The sequence below is a fragment of the Homo sapiens genome, chromosome 1, assembly GCF_000001405.40.
Source record: "Homo sapiens chromosome 1, GRCh38.p14 Primary Assembly".
NCBI classification, from domain to species: Eukaryota; Metazoa; Chordata; class Mammalia; order Primates; family Hominidae; genus Homo; species Homo sapiens.
Window position 1 is genome coordinate 28,055,441 of NC_000001.11, and position 20,636 is coordinate 28,076,076.

Here is a 20,636-nt window from a genome sequence, read left to right on the forward strand (position 1 = left end):
TGTGAGTTATCTAAAGAAAATCTTTTTTTTTTTTTTTTTTTTTTGAGACAGAGTCTCACCCACTCTGTTGTCCAGGCTGGAGTGCACTGGCACAATCTCGGCTCACTGCAACCTCCACCTCCTGGGTTCAAGCGATTCTCCTGCCTCAGCTTCCCAAGTAGCTGGGATTACAGGCAAGTGCCACCACACCTGGCTAATTTTTGTATTTTTAGTAGAGATGGGGTCTCCCCATGTTGGCCAGGCTGGTCTCAAACTCCTGGCCTCAAGTGATCCACCCACCTCCACCACCCAAAGTGCTGGGATTACAGGCATGAGCCACTACGTCCAGCCGATCTGAACAAAATCTTGAGGTAGAGCTAGCAATTAGTGGAGAAATAAGAGAAGGGATAATTCAATAAGGAAGAGTCAAGAAGAGACAATGGGATTAAAATAACTTCAATAATAACGACCATCAGTAACATCTCTAGGATTAAAAATATTGGCTTTATCATCAACTTGGGATGGGACCATTCTTTCCACTCATATTTTAGATCTCCACTACAGCCTGTGAAAAGCTTTTTTTTTTTACCTCAAAATGTGTCATTACTCTTCCTGTTCTATTTTAAACATTAATAAGTATTGTGTTTTCATAGATTCTGTATTTGTCTGTTTGACATCCATTAATTACAGAGCCAAACTCAAGGCCAAACTTGTTTTTTATCTCCCCTGAGATCCAGTGCCCATACTCTGAACCACCTCCTTTATCTAACTCTCACACACTAAGCCCCTATTTCTCCTGCCCTAAATCATAAATCAACCCAGGACAAAGTACCACCAGAAAACCAGGGATAGTCCACAGGCCACAAAGCCTGAAGAATTATTCAAACTAGTCAACGCTAAGCTGTTTACCCTGCCTACCTTGCTTTTCCTGTGGAAACCTCATTAAGTCTGTGGCCCGTGCCTTCCTCCCACTCTTTTTTGCCTCCTGACCAACAGTGGTACTTCCCCCGTGTGGCATGCTATGCCTCTTGTTTCAAGGGGAACTATGAGTAAACACTCAACTTTTCTTTCAGTGGCACTGATCTCTCCATGTCGTCATTCAATCACCTTTTTATATTAAGATCTGGGCATAAATCAATAAGGAAATAATGCCCTGTGACAACCATTTATAGTCAGCAGAAATTTTGGTTTTAAAGTGCTTCAATTTCTTACCTTTCTCTGAAGTAATAATCAGGTTTTGCACATCATGTTACAGAAGTTCAAGAGAATGACAAGGAAATGAAGCAGGGCAGAAGAGATAGATGACTTGTTAGCAGGTCAGCCTCACAATTCTCATTACCTTAAATAGGTAAGGAGTAACTAACAATACCCATATTTCAACAGTATGTCAACACTTACATAAGTCTTTTAAAAATATGACTAGACCTTTGTCTTACCACATTAAAAACTCAATGGCATAATTTTTCCTGGTACATATAGTATCTATAATTCAGCTATTTGTTCCAGTAGTGTAAATCCTAAACACACTGCTCAAGATAATTTTTAACCCTACCATTTCCCTGATAATTAAAGTCCCACCAGGGATAGGGATCACACTTCAAATGTTTCAAAAGGTCTTTTTACCAGTTGCTAATGTCTTCCTAGTTTTATACTTACCTCAACTGAGAGGGCTAGAAGAATAATGACAAAGTAATCATCAATATGCATTTCTCAATATAAAGAAAAATATTTAAAATATATTAAAGGACTTTATCATTTAAATGGGAGCTAGTATACCTAAAGAATACAACTAGAACACGAAAAACATATCCTATTATTTGCTTTCAAAATTCAAATTTTTATAGGTTAGATTTTCATAAAGTAAACATGTACCATGCTGTATCCTCTCTTAATATGAAATGTAAGAGGCCCACTCAGGATAGCAAATTGAATCGGTATTTACCAAACTTCAGAGAAAGAAACTGAAGACAAAAGGAAAAGACCCTCTAGCATAAAAGTTATCTTAAAAGAATGACACTATTGCTTTTGTTTTTTAAATATTAAGGGCCAAAAACCAAAAAGAAGATAAACCCATATCACCTGGGGACATTTAAAATTATTTTATTATGTTCAATATTTAAAAGAAATTAAGAATTCAATATAGTCTCTAGGGTTTTATCTGTTTTTAAGAATTAGCTAGTGGTCAAATTATAACTTCCTCACTACTACTACTTTTTAAAAAATTAACTCTCAAGGAAATTTAGGTAAAAACAAAACTAAATTTTCTGGTAGAAATGGTGATATACTGTCAGATCAGTAAAGAGACGTCCTCTTTTATTTTCTAAAAACTGTAACACTAGCCACTTATTTTTTTAAATGACATTTCTAAATGCAATATTCATTTCGTAATGCTAAATTTTCCTTAGACTCCTTAGAATTAAGTTAGAAAAATATAACATTGTTTTCTTGAAAGGAAACAAGGAATCTTTTCCTTATTTTTATTTCTAATTTGGAATCTATAACTGAATAATAATTAAAATCTCTTAAGATTAGCTCTTCTACAATCAACTTTAAACTGTTAAAGGAAATACTTACTGGTTGCTCTGGTAAATCTTGCTCTTCTTCCATGAGGACCAATATTTCTTTATTATACTTATGTGACTGGATTGCAAGTCTCTCTCAGCAGTTTTCACAATCTGTTTTTAAAAAGGAGGATTCAAAGCTTTATACACTCTTAAAGTATTATCATTGAGGCCATCAGAGAATGATTTTTTAGTATCTTGCTACCCCAAGCTTTCTACGTGAGTTCCAATCACAAAATCTCAAACCTGCACGTGGCTTTTCAAAAATGACATGCTACACCAAATCAAGAGAGGTGTACACAATGACTTTTATAATACCTTGCAAAAGCCAACATGTGGAACCACTTCTGCTGGTTACTATGGTGCCTAATGCATTGAACATTTTACAATGACAGCCACGTGCAGATAATAAAATATTTTTTTAAGGATTAGAGTTACACTAAAAATGATAGGGACTGGCCTAGCAAGTCAGCAAGTTATGATAACATCTAACCTGCTTTAATGTGGAACATTTACATAACTGTTAACACAGACACACAGAATCACTTTAAATAGGACAAACCGGAATATCAACTAAATGCATTCACAACCAACTATCTGTCTATATGTCATCAATTTCAAGGAAAACTCAATTCTTCTGCATCTCAATAATAAAAATAAATAAGTAGAGTGAAACCTTGACTTTTAGAACTAAAGAAAATAATCATCCAAAGATAGGACCTAATTTAATTCTGAAATAATGAACTTCTACTAACTGTACTGCCCAATTATTTAAGCAAAATCTTTACGTTCTCAGACCCTGCTCTTTCTGTCCTGATTTTCAAACAAAAAAGGAAAAATGGGATTCTAAGTCCACCTTACCATGTCCTACTGACAGGAGACAAAGAGACAAAAATTAGAAAGCTGCATACATTATAAAAATGAAATACTCCATTTCTATCTAACAAAAGTGAAACCAGCACTTCTCCCAAAAGATGTGATTGCTTGTATATTTAATTAAAGTCACAGCTGTTTTTAGCTTTTCTACCAACCACTGTACCTAACTCACATACAAAGCTAAAGTAAGTATATAATCTTATCACACAAGTACTGAAAATAGACAAATAACAAGAAAACCAAAAACTTGTTATGCCAGTATACCACCACTCTACTTCTATTACTCTGTCGTGTTGCAATACAACACAACTTTATTTTAGAGCCACACTCCAGAATGTGAAAAGGAGAGAAAACACACATAAGGTTACAATTAGATGCAAAGTTGTCCAACTCTAACACAGCTTTATTCCCTACCCCAATTTAGAATATCAAAAGAAAAAAGAAGTTTAAAGGTCAGAAGCACTTGATGCTCAATGCTCTCACTGTAGCTCATACACAGAGCCTCAAAAGCTAAGTTCTCCTACTACATGACACAGGTAACTAGTGATACAGAATTACAGAGTGCAATAAGTAAAGCTCATAGGAGCTATCTTCCCTGCACTTGTTTTGCTCAGCTTAGAACAACACAGTCAATGTGACCTAAAACTGATTCACAGCTATGAAAGATCAAACATTTTTGGTTTTACTAGTTTATGTCTTAGTTTCAAATTGAAGTATCTTTTCTTTAAGGGACAATCCTTTTCATTTTATACTGTCTAAATGTACATTATGTACATATATTATTTCATCCCATTAGAAACAACAAAATAGGACCACATCATTAGAGAAATGGAATACCTTCAATACCTCATTTGTTGGATTTTTTTTTTTTTTTTTTTTTTTGAGATAGGGTTTCGCTGTGTCACCCAGGCTGGAGTGCAGTGGCGCAATCTCGGCTAACTGCAACCTCCGTCTCCCGGGTTCAAGCAATTTTTCTGCCTCAGGCTCCCAAGTAGCTGGGACTACAGGCGCGCCACCATGCCTGGCTAATTTTTGTATTTTTAGTAGAGATGGGTTTTTGCCATGTTGGCCAGCCTGGTCTTGAACTCCTGACGTCAGGTGATCTGCCTGCCTCAGCCTCCCAAAGTGCTGGGATTACAGGCATACACCTGGCCAAGTTGTTGATTTTTTGTGTGACCAGTTCTCATCCATAGAAAACTTACAACATTACATGTTTTCCCTAATTGAAGGCCATGACTATAAAACTACAATCTCTAGTATATTTTCAGCAAGGGAGATAAAAGGGATATCCACTCCACCATGGGGGAAGAGTTATAAATTTCATCTCTGATAGGAGGAAGGTAAGAATAATTGTTAAAAAATATTTATGTGTATACACACTCAATAATGTGGTTTAATTTTGTTTTTAAACACAAAAACTAATTCGTTTTAAAAATCTGAATTACATTAAAGGAGAACATAATACTACTTACAGGTCAAAAGGGGTCATGGGTTTTAAAAAGTAAGAAAACGCTCTATCAAGTTGAATAATGAAGAATCATTTTAAAAGAAAAAACATAGAAACATTAGTATAAATGGTGGGGATATAAATTATCAATAAATGTTAAAATATTGAATTTTGCTTTTTAGAAATATGGTAATATTAAATTGATTTTATAATAGAAAAAGAAGAATCTACTATTTCTTGACATAAATTCTGTAAGCTGCAAGAAAACCTTCTTTAAGGGAAACATTTAAAGACATTCCTTTCTACATCTATTCTGTGAAAATAAGCACCCTTTGTTGTTTCCATCTTTAAAATTCTCTGTCTTCTTGGCTTTTCAATCTAGGAGAATAAAAAGTACACAAATAATTTCTACATTTAGAAGAAAAGAACTGGCCAGGCATGGTGGCTCATGCCTGTAATCCCAGCACTTTGGGACGCCGAGGCAGGCGGATCACAAGGTCAGGAGATCAAGACCATCTTGGCCAAGATGGTGAAACCCTGTCTCTACTAAAAATACAAAAATTAGCTGGGCGTGGTGGCGCAAGCCTGTAGTCCCAGCTCCTTGGGAGGCTGAGGCAAGAGAATCGCGTGAACCTGGGAGGCGGAGGTTTCAGTGAGCTGAGATCGCACCACTGCACTCCAGCTTGGTGACAGAGTGAGACTCTGTCTCAAAAAAGAAAAGAAAAGAAAAGTTTAAAAACCAGGCTTGCTATCTCAAAATAACTGGTCAATGACCACGAATAATTTTGATCATTTTAAAACAAAAAGCTGCCTACAAGGAAAGAATAGATTACAAAATCCCCCGGGATTCTACTGGCAACATACAATGTGTGGGAAGTTTGCAAACATACATTCTGGTACATTCTGTATAAAATGCACTAATGACCACAAATTATGTAATTCTACCAAAACATTCATCTAAATACTAGTTTCCATCAATACAGTATTCTCCTGCCTTCCAATAATTTGTACCCTGAAAGACCTGAAATATCAGAACATACTAAATATAAGAATGCAAGTATTCATCACAGTCCCAGCATTTATCAATGTTTAAAACTTTTATTAAGACTTCATACCATTTTCCACAAGTGGTGCATGCTATACAATCAAAAGTCATACTTACTAGCAAGAGATGAAAATACAGTATAACTAAGACACAATATTGCAAAACTTGGTAATAAAAGAAGTACAGAATTACTGTAAAAATCTTAGTATTAGTTTCCTTGTATTAGTTCTAGAATTTAACGTGTTTTTTTTTTTTGTCTTTTGTTTTTTGAGATGGAGTCTCGCTCTGTCGCCCAGGCTGGAGTGCAGTGGCGCGATCTCAGCTCACTGCAAGCTCCGCCTCCCAGGTTCACGCCATTCTCCTGCCTCAGCCTCCTGAATAGTTGGGACTACAGGCGCCCGCCACCACGCCCGGCTAATTTTTTGTATTTTTAGTAGAGACGCGGTTTCACCGTGTTAGCCAGGATGATCTCGATCTCCTGACCTCGTGATCCGCCCACCTCAGCCTCCCAAAGTGCTGGCATTACAGGTGTGAGCCACCGCGCCCGGTCAACGGTTTTTTTTTGTTTGTTTGTTTGTTTTTACCATTAATGTAACCTGACATTATTTTACATTCAGTGAGATTCATCTTTTAAAATATCAAGTAATACAACAGTTGTAACACAGAAGTGAAAAGTGGATTTTTAATGTAATTAAAATAAATTAAAACTTAGTCAAACAGCTGATGAAATTACAAGACATGCCCCGAGTTAATCTTTTAAGTACCTTTAGAACATTTGGAAAGTAATGTCTTTTCACAATTTTCTAATTTCAATTCTTACTACTGGTTTCTAAATACACTTGTTTTATCACCTTTTTTGGAAATAGAGCTTGTCAGTATTCATTTGCCTTCATGGACAGAATTCTGAGAAAATTTTAAATTGAGAATAGAAATAGTATTTCCTAAGACTTTACACTTCTCTACCTGTGAATGCTGACAGTGAAAAAATAGAAACTTTGGTTTGATTCAAGAGCCACACAATTTTGAATACTATTGAGATTTTGCATGCTTAAAAATAAAAGCAGGATCTTTCTGTAATATGGCAGCCATAAATTTTATTTTTACTCTTTAGAAGTTAGAAGGGAAATAATTAGTAACAAATATTTTATTTCAAAATTCAAATTAGATTCCTACCTCATAGTTTCTGTTTTGTCCCAAGTTCAACATACTATGTACCCTGTAAATGTAAATGGCCATAAGCAAGAAATTAGGTTGCTTCAATGTGTTATTAAAGCTCTTAGGCTTAGGAAGAGAAATTAAATATATGTAGGTGTGTGTGTGTGTGTGTGTGTGTGTGTGTGTGTGTTCTGTTTGTTTAAAAGCACAGAATAGGCTGGGTGCAGTGGCTCACACCTGTAATCCCAGCACTTTAGAAGGCCAAAGCAGGCGGATCACTTGAGGTCAGGAGTTTCAAACTAGCCTGGCCAACATGGTCAAACTCTGTCTCTCTTAAAAATACAAAAAATTAATCTGGCGTGGTGGCACGCGCCTGTAATTCCTGCTACTCAGGAGGCTGAGGGAGGAAAACTGCTTAAACTCAGAAGGCGGAGGTTGCAGTGAGCCGAGATTGCACCACTGCACTCCAGGCTGGGCGACAGGAAACTGACTAACGCTCCATCTCAAAAAAAAAAAAAAAAAGCACAGAATAAAGGTCAAATTGTTTTCCATGAAAACAAGGCATATATCACTCTTAATTACAACTTCAAAAGAAGTGTCTAAGTAAGGCAAAGTCTGATTTATAGGTCCTAGAAAGAGAATTTGCATGCAGCTAAGTATGTACAGAGATATTCAGGAGTTAACTGGATATCTATGACACAGTCCCACATAGAAAAAAGGTAGTCCATAGATTTGCTCACTGACTACATTGTATTTTAAGTTTATTTACTACACTTTCCAAAGTGCCTTATATATATATATATTTTTTTTTATTTTTAATTTTTTTTGGGGGGGGAAATAACTAAAACCTTTTTTTTTTTTTTTTTTTTTGGAGACAGCATCTTGCTCTGTCACCCAGGCTGGAGCACAGCGGCGTAATCTCGGCTCACCGCAACTTCCACCTCCCCAGTTTAAGCAATTCTCATGCCTCAGCCTCCCAGGTAGCTGGGATTACAGGTGTGCGCCACCACACCTGGTTAATTTTTGTAGCGATGGGGTTTTGCCATGTTGGCCAGGATGGTCCCAGACTCCTGGCCTCAAGTGATCCACCAGCCTCGGCCTCTCAAAGTGCTGGGATTACAGGTGTGAGCCACCACATCCGGCCTAAAACCTTTATTAGATATGATTTTCCAATAATAATAATGTGCAAATTTGAATTATGAATTCAAAGAGCAGTGAAGTCTGAAATTTTAAAAGGTAGAATAGGTATTAGGGAACAAAAGGTAAAGGAAGATGAGAACGTTTAATACTATTCATTATCTCCTCTGTACACAATGTTGCATATACACAACTATTTCATTTTTATCTTATTGATTTAACAATAGTGAAATCACCTTAAGCAACCTACGGTATATAGTTGGTGTCCAACTTTGGGGGGGAAGGTAGAAACATACATGATTAACATTTTTCACCCACACATTTTAGACAATTTTTTTTTTTTGGCCAAGATTTTAGCAGCAAATTCATAAATATAAGAAGTACTTTCACTCATTCAATGTTAAAACAGAAAGCCAAATAGTGTCAACAGTAGTGGCTTAATTATTGGTATACAAGAAAAACAAAACACCAATAGGTTTTCTTAATTATGCACTTTAAATATTAATATGTGCATTTATTTTTAGTTATACATTTTTCACGTTTTAGACAATAGCCTTTAATAGTTTCAAATCCATTGAGACGTTGCTTTCAATTTCAAATAATGTGTGCATACACGTATATAAAAAACAACCCAGTGTATGACTCATGTGACAGATGTTTAAGATTAACAAATGCTTATTTTTCAACATGCAGTTAGGTAGAGAGGGAAGCAAGCCATCCTCTCTCTCTCTCTCTCTCTATATATATATATATAAATATATAGAGCCTGCGAGACAGCGAGACTCTGCCTCAAAAAAAAAAAAAGAAGTGAACAAAGGTTTACTCCAATACCTACAAATTTCTTAATGAAAATTAGACAAAATTAATAATGAATATTTTGGGAGAAAGGAGAACAACAGAGGCCATTTAAGGAAAACCTGTCTACACCATTCTTTAAAACCAATAATAGTGGGAAAGATAAGAGAACTATCATTTACTGAGCATATATAATACACAAAGTTTTTAGTTTTTATTTTTTTTATTTTTTTAAGACATGAGGGTCTTATTATGTTGCCCAAGCTGGTCTCAAACTCCTGGGCTCAAGCAATCCTCCCACCTCAGCCTCCCAAGCAGCTGGGACTACAGGCATGTGCCACTGCATCCAGCTCCAAGTAATTTTTATATTCACTATCTCATCAAATTTTGTCTCCACAACTAAGACGCAGGTGGTATTATCATCCTCATGCTACAAACAAGGAAACTGGGATTCAGAGATTTAAACAATTTGTCCAAGAGTAACAGCAATAATGTTGCAGGTTGAAGTGAAAATACCTTAAATAAAGAGACTAGATAATAGTGATGATGACTGCAGATCATTGTAAATGTACTTAATTCCACTGAATTGTATACAGTAGTCTCCCCTTCCAAGGGGGGGATACACTGCAAGACCCCCAGTTGACCCCTGAACCCACAGATGGTACCCATATAGACTGTCTTTTTTCCTATACATATATACCTATGATAAATTTTAACTCAGCAGTTTTCACACACTGTGTGGCCAAAACCTGGAGTTTGAGGTGTGACAGAAAAACTAGCATGAATTTCTTTTCCTTCTTCAAAAGTTCATGGACAGAAGATTAGTTCTTACCATAGATTTTTTTTCTTTCTTTTTGAGATGGAGTCTCTCCCTGTCACCAGGCTGGAGTGCAGTGGTGAGATCTCAGCTCACTGCAACCTCCGCCTCCTGGGTTCAAGCGATTCCCCTGCCTCAGCCTCCTGAGTAGCTGGGACTACAGATGCGTGCCACCACGCCCAGCTAATTTTTGTATTTTTAGTAGAGACGGGGTTTCAGCATGTTGACCAGGATAGTCTGGATCATGATCCGCCCGCCTCGGCCTCCCAAAGTGCTGGGATTACAGGTGTGAGCCACAACACCCAGCCCTACCGTAGATCTTAACAATCTCAGCATATGATTTTTTTTCTTTCCTTATTTAGTGGAGAACTTTTACCTTTTCACTTAATGCACTTCTCTTTGGTGTATCTGTATTGCCAGCAACACTACTCTTGCTCTTCAGGGCCATTAAGTAAAATAAGAGTTACTCAGGCTGGGTGCAGTGGCTCATGCCTGTAATCCCAGCACTCTGGGAGGCCGAGGCGGGCGGATCATGAGGTCAGGAGTTCAAGGCCAGCCTGGCGAACATGGTGAAACCCCATCTCTACTAAAAATACAAAAATTAGCTGGGCATGGTGGCGCATGCCTGTAATCCCAGATACTCAAGAGGCTGAGGCAGGAGAACTGCTTGAACCAGGACCCGGGAGGCGGAGGTTGCAGTGAGCTGAGATCACGCCATTGCACTCCAGCCTGGGCAAGAGTGAAACTCTGTCTCAAAAAAAAAAAACAAAAAAGAGTTACTCGAACACACAAGTACTGCAGATACCTCAACAAATGATCTGATAACCAAGACGGCTCCTAAGTGAGTAACAGGCGGGAAGTGTCTACAACATGAATATGTTGGATAAAGGGATGATTCATGACCCAGGCAGGAAAGAGCAAAATGGAGAGAGACTTCATCACACTACTCAGATCAGTGCACAATTTTAAACTGATGAATTATTTGCCTGTGAAATTTTCCATTTAATATTTTCAGACCAAGGTTGATAGAAGGTAACTAAAACCGCCAAAAGCAAAACTACAGATGGTGGGGGTACTACCTTACTTAAAAATGGTTAAAACAGTTAATTTTATCTTACGTATATTTTACAATAAAAAATACAAAAAAAACCCTAAGAGATTAGAAATGCCAAAAAAAGATCAAATCTATAAAGTATTTAAAATATGAAATAAATGGAGAAAAAATCAGTATTTAGAAAACATTGTCAGAAAAACTGAATACCAACATGCAAAAAATATCCACATCAACATATGCTGTAAGTAATTATAAATATATTAAAAAACTAAACATTCAAAAAACTTTGGAGAAAACAGAACAGTAAGCTTATCTCACTATGGAAAAGAGATGAATTTATGGTCAATTCAAAGAAAGCATAAACAAGAATTTGACAAATCCAATTATGTAAAATAAACTTTCATGCAATGAAAAAAACAAATCTAAGATTAAAATATTATAAATTCAGGCAATATCTGCAAGAATTATGATAAATAAAACAATGTTTATAATATAAACCAAACCAATTCAACATTTCCCGATCATCTATTATTAGGGAGCAAACAATGACTAACTCATAAACCTGTCAAAGGATAAAAACAGGCAGTTTAAACCACAGAGATTCAATCGGCACTTGAGAAAAAAGACTGTCTCACTACTAATTGGAGAAATATAAATTGCAATATTCTTAAGATACGACTTCATACATATTAAGCTACCAAAAAAAATCTAAACAATAAAACCAAGTGTTATCTGGGTTATGAGAAGATAAAGACATATTCAGTCAGGCACAGCTGTAAAATCATATGTGTCTTCAGACTGTTCCTGGATAAAGTATAAAAGAGGTCATAAGATTGGCCACAGCCTAATCTGAATAATTTTTCTTAGGTGCTCACCCAAGAATTACATACAGGGGGGAAAGAAGCAAACTCTACTTTTAAAAATAGTATAAGTTTGTTGTCTACAGAAACGAAAAATGAGAAACAAACAACATGTGAACAATAAGTTTAACTACACTGTAACTGTAAACTATTTCAATACAAGCTTATTTAAAAGGTGAATACATGTTTTTATGTTAGTTTAATAATAGCTTACATATAATTTGATAAGAATCAAAAGCAGATACAAAGCTTACATTTAAAAGTATAGTAAAATGTTTAAATACATATTTTTAAATGCTTATATAAAAAATGTTCAAGACATTAAGCTAAAATTAGACACAAATTCTTCATTCTTGCCCCCAACTTTTTCCATTAGAAAAAAAATTTCAGTTTTGAGGGAAAAGCATTTCAAATCACAGTGATCTTGCCTTACCTAAAAAATCTTACCCTGTTTGTGACAACAGTATAGGCAGAAAGATTCATTTGATTTTCTGGCTGTGTCATCTCTTTCCTAAGAAGTTATTTAGACACTGTACACAAACTCAGGGTTGGTTCATTTTACAGCTCTAAGCAAAAGCAACGAACTTCCAATAGTTAAAGAATTTGCTATTGGAAGAGACTTCACATTTGGTTTCACTCTATTGGACAGACACGATTCTCTCTTGGAAATGCAAGAAAATATATAACAAAAGATGCTACAAAGGATAGAGTATCACAGATCATTAAATGTAATCCTTATTTTAAAGTTGAGGAAATTAAACAAAAGAGAAGGCACTGCCTCATGAACCTGTAAGCAGCAGAAACAGTGGTGGAATCCAAAACTCTGAACTCCCTTGTCTGAAGTTTTTTGTCCTCTTTATGTGGAATTGAGCATAAAACCCTCCCTTTTAAAATTACATTCCTTTATGCCTGTAATCCCAGCACTTTGGGAGGCTGAGGCAGGTGGATCACCTGAGGTCAGGAGTTCGAGACCAGCCTGGCCTACATGGTGAAACTCCGTCTCTACTAAAAATAAAAAAAATTAGCGTGGTGGTAGGCACCTGTAATCCCAGCTACTTGGGAGGCTGAGGCAGGAGAATCGCTTGAACCCGGGAGGTGGAGATTGCAGTGAGCCAAGATCGCACCACCGCACTCCAGCCTGGGCAACAAGAGTTAAGACTCCCATCTCAAAAAAAAAAAAAAAATTACATTCCTAATATTATTACCTTAGGCTACTTATTCCTTTTCTTTCATTACATCTCTATCCTATGTTACATTACTTTGATCTTATGATATAACATCATGTTCTTAACGTTTTTAAATATTTTAAATTTAAACTCAAAATTTCTTTTTCAATGTATGGATTGGCACTTTAAGGACCTCCTAAAAATCCAAAAATAACATTCCTTTTTTTTTTTTCTTTAGAGGAATAAAGAGCTTAGTTGAACAAAGAGCTACTTCTGAATCTGGCAGCCCTCAGAATCAGAAAAGATTCAGACTCAGAGAGCTCCCTGACATTCTTTTTATGCTACGTATTAACTCCCTGTACAGGCTAGCAAAAAAACCCACAAAAACAAATTGATTTCTCTTTATAACCGTAAGTCCTTAATTTAAAATGTACAGACTTTGATTTACTGGGTTTTTTTGTTTGTTTGTTTTTTGATTTTTTGAGACAGGGTGGAGTACAGTGTCACAATCTCACCTAGCCTGGAGTACAGTGGCACAATCCTGGGTCACTGCAACCTCCGCCTCCTGGGTTCAAGCGATTCTCATGCCTCAGCCTCTGAAGTAGCTGGGACTACAGGTGTCCACCACCATGCCTGGCTAATTTTTGTATTTTTAGTAGAAACAGGGTTTCACCATGTTGGCCAGGCTGGTCTCGAACTCCTGGTCTCAAGTGATCCGCCCGCCTTGGCCTCCCAAAGTGGGATTACAGGCTTAAGCCACAGTGCCCAGCCTGACTTACTGTTAATTAAACAGGTAATTTTATTTATTTATTTATTTATTTTTGAAACAGAGCAGTGACACAATCTCAGCTCACTGCAACCTCCACCTCCTGGGTTCAAGCAATTCTCCTGCCTCAGCCTCCCAAGTAGCTGGGACTACAGGCACATGCCACCACACTCGGCTAATTTTTCGTATTTTAGTAGAGACAGTCTCACCATGTTGCCCAGGCTGGCCTCAAACTCCTGAGCTCAAGTGATCTACCCACCTCGGCCTCCCAAACTGCTGGGATTACAGTCATGAGCCACCATGGCCGGCCAAAACAAGTAATTTTAACTGGGGCTGGGGTCAAAGTGGGAAGGGGCGGCTGAGGTAGGAGGATCCCTTGAGCCCAGGAGTAATCTGGTAATCTGGTATGTTGACCAGCCTGGACAACACAGCAAGAGACCCAATCTATTTAAAAAAAAAAAAAAAAGAGAGAGAAGAAGAAGAAAAAAAAAGAGGGTGGGAGGGAAAGGAGAAAGGGAGGGAAGAGGAGAAGGAAGGAAGGGAAAGAGGGGGTAGAAGAGGAAGAGAGGAGGGGGGAAATCCCCTTTCCCAAACACATATACACACAGTTATCATGAAATAGATTTCTAGCCAAAGATGGGTCCATAGCCTAATACCCAGATCCTGTGAATGTTCACTTATTTGGAAAAACAGTCTTTGCATATGTTATTAAGGATTTTGAGATGAGATTATACATAGGCCCTAAACGCCATCACAAATATCCTTATAAGAGAAAAGCAGACATTTAACACACATACAGAGAAGACGGCAATGTGAAAATGGAAGAAGAGACTGGAGGGTTACGGTCAAGGAATGTCAGCAGCCACCAGAAGCTGGGAGAGGCAAGGGATGATTGCCCCTAAAGCCTCTGGAGCAAGTTCAGTCCTGCCAACACCCTGATTTCAGACTTCTGGCCTCCAGAAGTGAAAGAATAAATTTCTGTTGTTTTAAGCCTCAAAGTCTGTTTGGGGTAATTTGTTATGGCAGCCACAAGAAACTAATACAAATAGCAAAGTTTATGTTTTTTGTTTGCTTGGTTTTGCTATTACCTCTCTGTTTGGGCTTGTTGACCATCTCCTGACCACTGAATGAAACAGACAAACTGAAAACGAAAGTGGGAAATGAAGAAATCTAAGTAAGGGGCCGGGTGCGGTGGCTCACACCTGTAATCCCAGCACTTCGGGAGGCCAAAGCAGGTGATCACCTGAGGTCAGGAAATCGAGACCAGCCTGGCCAACATGGTGAAACCCCCCGTCTCTACTAAAAATACAAAAATTAGCCAGGCGTGGTGGTGGGCACCTGTAATTCCAGCTACTCCGGAGGCTGAGGCAGAAGAATCACTTGAACCCAGGAGGCAGAGGTTGCAGCAAGCCGAGATCATGCCACTGCACTCTAGCCTGGGCTACAGAGTGAGACTCCGTCTCAAAAAAAAGAGAAAGAAATGTAAATAAGATAAGAGAACACAACTGTACATACAGCTGAAAAAAAAATGCTTCCAGACATTAAAAATAATAAACATAAAACACTTAAAAACTTTCCAAATAATTGTCAAGTTTGCCTCTCTAATGAAAGTGTTACATAATTCCAAAGTTAGCATTCTCCTGCTGTCACTCTGGGATAAACTTTAAATTTATATAGTGGAAGAAATACCCAGGTAACAATAACACTGACAGTCCCAGGTACTTCATGGATCTTGAGAAATCTTACAAGATCTTTCCAACGCCTTAACAAACTCAACACTAGTATTTGCAAGACAGCACTTAAAGTCTGCATACATTCACTATACTGTTTTTTGTTTGTTTTGAGATGGAGTCTCCCTCTATCACCCAGGCTGGAGTGCAATGGCGCACTCTTAGCTCACTGCAACCTCAGCCTCCCAGGTTCAAGCAATTCTCCTACTTCAGCCTCAGGAGTAGCCGGGATTACAGGCGCCTACCACCACGCCCAGATAATTTTTGTATTTTTTAGTAGAGATGGGGTTTCACCATGTTGGCCAGGCTGGTCTCGAATTCCTGACCTCAAGTGATCTGCTTGCCTCAGCCTCCCAAAGTGTTGGGATTACAGGCGTGAGCCACTACGCCTAGCCTCACCATACTGTTTGATGTGTTCTGCTTAGGGAAAAAAATTACTGCTAGAGTTAAACCTGAAATATATAAAAGTCCTCCTTTCCAATTTATCTTAAATAACAATCTTACGTAAACTATGCCTCAAGACTGAGCTCATATTTTTCTGTTTTGATTGAAGTTCCTATTTTGCATTTCTCTCATGTAATAGTTATACAGTAATATGCTCCTCCATAAATCATTTACTAAATATTTAATTTTTAACTTTGTAACACTGTGCTTAGCACTATATCAAGAACGTTGATAAACACATCATAATATGGTACTAAATGATCAGAAATTTTTTTCATTGGAAAAACGTGACTTTTCTAACTCAACAATTACTTTTTTGCATGTATTTTTCTTTGGGATTTCTTTTTTGTTTGTCTTGAATAGAGCCCTGAAATTCTTTCTAAACATATTCATAGAATATTTCAAGCTGGAAGAAAAACACTGAAATAGAATCCAGGATAAAATATGCCAGGTATTAAAGACATATTCTGAAAGAAATCATAATTACTTTTGGCTGCTGCATCAAAAGTTCATGTCAGTGTTGAATATGCCATTTAACTACCCTTTACAAAAATGTACAGATCAAACAGAATGAAACTATAAAAGCTCAGCTAATTTAACCAAGTAAAGTTGTTAATTCCAACTTCAAGCAACAAAGTAAATAAGGGTAAAATTTAGGAACTTAATCATTTCTTGATAAAGACTCTTAATTGAAACAATTTTCCCAGGGGCCCTCTGTACTAGTCTCTGCTTAGCCTAAATGAAAGGATCTAATCTACAGAGACCAATAGTCCCAAACTTTAAGAATCTCCTCTGAATGCAACTCAAAATGATGACACACAAATTGAATTCATTCCCCCCAAAAAAATTATGTGACATATAAAGCATTTTGGGACAGATAGGAACTGAAAAAATAGTCTTGCAAAAAACAGAACCAAAACTAGTAGCAGTATCTTATAAACCAATAACATGTTAGTTACAGCCAGAAATAAAAATTAAACTATATAAATGCAAAGTGGTATCCTGAATTGGATCCTTGAGTAGAAAAAAGATATTAGTAGAAAAAGTAGTAAAATCTGAATGAAGTCTGGAATCTAGTAAACAGTAATGAGCTGCATTCAGAGGAGATTCCAAAAGTTTGGGACTGTTGGCCTCTGTAGATTTAGATCCTTTCGTTTAGGCTAAGCAGAGACTAGTACAGAGAGCCCTGGGGGAAGGGTGGGAATATATATGTATATATGATACCAGCACACACTTACTAGAATGTCTAAAATAAAAATAAAAAAACTGGCCAAATGCTGGCAAGGATGTGGAACAACAAGAACTCTACAACTAGAACAATGTACAATTAGAAATTGCACACTGCTGGTGGGAATGCAAAATGGTACAGTTCAGCCAGTCATGGAAAACAGTTTGGCAGTTCCTTATAAAGGTAAACATACACTTACTATACAATCCTTCAATCCCATTCCGAGGTATCTACCTAAGTGAAAAGAATACTTATGTTCACATAAAAACCTGTATATAAATGTGTACAGTAGCTTGTTCATATATATGCCAAAGACTGGAAACAACTCAAATGCCCTTCAAACTGGCACATGAATAAACAAACTGCAGTATACCCATACAATGGAATACTGTACAGTAAATCACAGAACAATCTGGATGAAACTCAAATGCATTATGCTAAGTGGACAAAGCCAGACTCAAAAGCCTACATATTGTATAATTCCATTTATATCACATAACTACAAGGACAGAAAACAGATTAGTGGTTGCCAGTGTTGGGGATGGGAAAAAAGGTTGACTATAAAGAGGCACAAGGGATCCTTTTTGGGATTGATGAAACTATTATATATATATATATATATATATATTTTTTTTTTTTTTTTTTTTTTTTAGATAGAGTTTCACTCTGTTGCCCAGGCTGGAGTGCAGTGGCGTGATCTTGGCTCACTGCAAGCTCCACCTCCCAGGTTCATGCAATTCTCCTGCCTCAGCCTCCCAAGTAGCTGGGACTACAGGCACGCACTACCACACCCAGCTAATTTTTTTTTTTTTTTTGAGATGATGTCTTCCTCTGTCACCCAGGCAGGAGTGCAGTGGCGCGATCTTGGCTCACTGCAACCACCACCTCCTGGATTCAAGCAATCTTCCCACCTCAGCCTCCCGAGCAGCTGGGATTACAGGCATGTGCCACCATGCCTGGCTAATTTTTTTGTATTTTTAGTAGAGACAGCATTTCACCGTGTTGCCCAGGCTGGTCCTGAACTCCTGACCTCAAGTAATCCAACTGTCTCACCCCCACAAAGTGCTGGGATTACAGGTGTGAGCCATTGCACCCAGCCTAATTTTTGTATTTTTAGTAGAAATGGGGTTTTACCATGTTGACCAGGCTGGGCTTGAACTCCTGACCTCAGGTGATCCACCCGCCTTGGCCTCCCAGAGTGCTAGGATTACAGATGTGAGCCACCGCACCTGGCCCTCTGTATCTCGATGTGGTTTTACAAAATTGTATGCATCTGTAAAACTTACAGAACTGTATGTTTAAAAGAATTAAATGTATGTAAATTATACCTCAAAAGTTATAATAGGATCTACTTAGATTTTTAGACAAAATCACATATGAAACTGCATAAAATTCTATGACTGTAATACAAACAAATGAAATTATAAACACAGACCACAGTTTTTTTATGAGTACAGAGATCTGAAATGTTGGCTAACAAAATTATAAACATAGTTGGAACAATAAATAGTTTATTTATTAGTAACGAGATCTGAAACACTGGCAGATAAAACTATAAAAACAGTTGGATCAACAGTTTATTTATGAGTACAGAGATTGAAATGTAGGCTCTATTACCTGTTACCATCATAACAGAAGAATTTTTCCATTACATAGATAACTTAAGGTCAAATTGTATAAATTCTTATTTTTATTCTAAATGTGACTACCTTCAGATACCCTTTCCTTATTTAAATTGAAATGGTGGAAGAATTCTACCCTATCTTAAACACTAGAGGTAGAACTATACAACATACAATTATTCAGAAGCAATTATACCTAAAATAGAAGTTAGTACTCATTTAAAAGAGATCTTAGACTTTCAATTTCCATAACTGTGAGAAAATACATGTTATTTTAGCCACCCAATCTATAGTATTCTGTTAGGGCAAACCAAGTGGACTAATATAATATAGTTCACAAAACCTTACTTTAGTTATTTAGACATGGTTTTCTTTAGTTCTTTGAACTTTCTTTTTTTTTTTTTTTTAAAGAAATGAGGTCTTGCTCTGTCACCCAGGCTGGAGTGCAGTGGCAATTGTCCCTCCTCAGTAAGTGCAAGCCACCATACCAGGCCCTTTGAACATATTTTAAATGGCTGATTTAAAGTCTTTGCCTAATACTAAAGTCTAACATTTGGGCTTCCTCAGGGAACATTTTCTAATTTACTGCTTTCTCTCCTATGTGTGGACCATACTTAAGTGGTTTTTTGCATGCTTTGTAATAACAGTCTCTTGAAAACTAAACATTTTAAATAAGGTAATGTGACAACTCGAAAAATCAGATTCTTCCCCTACCAGGTATTTGTTGTTATTACTGTTTACTGTTGTTACTGTTTATTGTTGTTTCTTTTAGTGACTTTCCTGAACTAATTATCTAAAATATTAATTTTCTATCATATGTGGTCACTAAAGTCTCTGCTGTTCATTTGTGATCAGCTAATGACTGGGCAGAGACTTCCTTAAATGCTTAAAACCAGTATAAGACTCAGTGTGTATTGACAGCCTAACTACATGTGTTAGGGCATACCTTTCACATTCAGCCAAGCAGTTTACAACCCTTCCTTAGCCTTTACTTCTTGCTTGCACAAAGTCTAGAGATTAATCAGAACTGACAGCTTAGGACCTTCTTAGTTCTTTCCTAAGCATGCAGCACACAACCCTACACATGCACATAGCCTTCTAGATTCCCAGAAATATACCAGAGCTTCTTAAATTTCCTTATGAACATCTCATTTCCCAGCTTTTCCTTTTAAGCTTCTTGGTTAGCCTATTATTCGATCTAACTATTCACTGTCACTCAAGATGGTGAGCACTCAAGTTGTTCAACAACTGCCTTTAACTGTTTTCAATAAACACTGCAAGGGGAAAGGTTGTTTGTACTAAGTGAGCTTCAAGTCAGGTCAAATACAGATGGTCTTGTGAATGAGGTTTTTCAAGGAACTACTAGCTAGGTAAAATAATGACAACTCTGGGAATGGAGTTTTGAAGAACTCTAAACTCGATCTATCCCTTCCAGTGGCTGGTTTTCACCATGATTGGAGGCTGTTGGTTTTCAAGGCTACTGAGGAGCTAGAGGGAAAAGCACAAATTAAAATGCCACAAAGTTTGCTGTTTTTGCCAAGATTCAGCCATTTCTCTTGAATAAATGCTCACAGATTGCTGCCATTGATAAATATTCCAGGTACCCTTCAGTTCTTCATATTTGTTTACCTGGAGTCTGCTACATTTCTGAAACTTCTACATATACTTTTCGCTGTGATTTCTTCTCCTATTTTTTCCAACAATTTGGTCTCACTGTTTCCTATCTTTCAGAAATCCATTAAAGTCTCATCAGCTGAAAGCCACCTTTCTTGATTTAATACCTTTAAAAAAATATCTAACATACTTACTAACATATCCACTCAGAATCCTTTGTATTCAGAGCCCTGCTAAAGCAGACACAAATATCCAGCAGACCTACACTCAGCTAACCTCTCTTAAGGCTCCCTTTAGTGTGATCCTAAGAGAGTCTTTCAGCTCTCATAACTTAGGCAAC

General features: G+C 37.2%; 1 protein-coding gene across 17 annotated transcripts in view; it reads right to left on the reverse strand.

Moving 5' to 3' along the window:
• The window catches only part of EYA3 (EYA transcriptional coactivator and phosphatase 3), a 118,267-nt gene that overhangs the window by 85,097 nt on the left and 12,534 nt on the right, over positions 1–20,636 (reverse strand). For 10 of the 17 annotated variants that reach the window (NR_104214.2, NM_001282562.2, NM_001282561.2 and 7 more), the window contains one exon: positions 2,554–2,654. Coding sequence is in view for 13 of the 17 variants with exons in the window: in NM_001282561.2 (NP_001269490.1) it covers positions 2,554–2,586 (33 nt within the window). In the remaining 4 variants the exon portion in view is untranslated. Of the gene's footprint in view, positions 1–1,191; positions 1,198–2,553; positions 2,655–20,636 lie in introns of those variants that run through there. The other 7 variants (XR_007096080.1, XM_011541004.3, XM_006710449.4 and 4 more) reach the window with 2 other exon arrangements.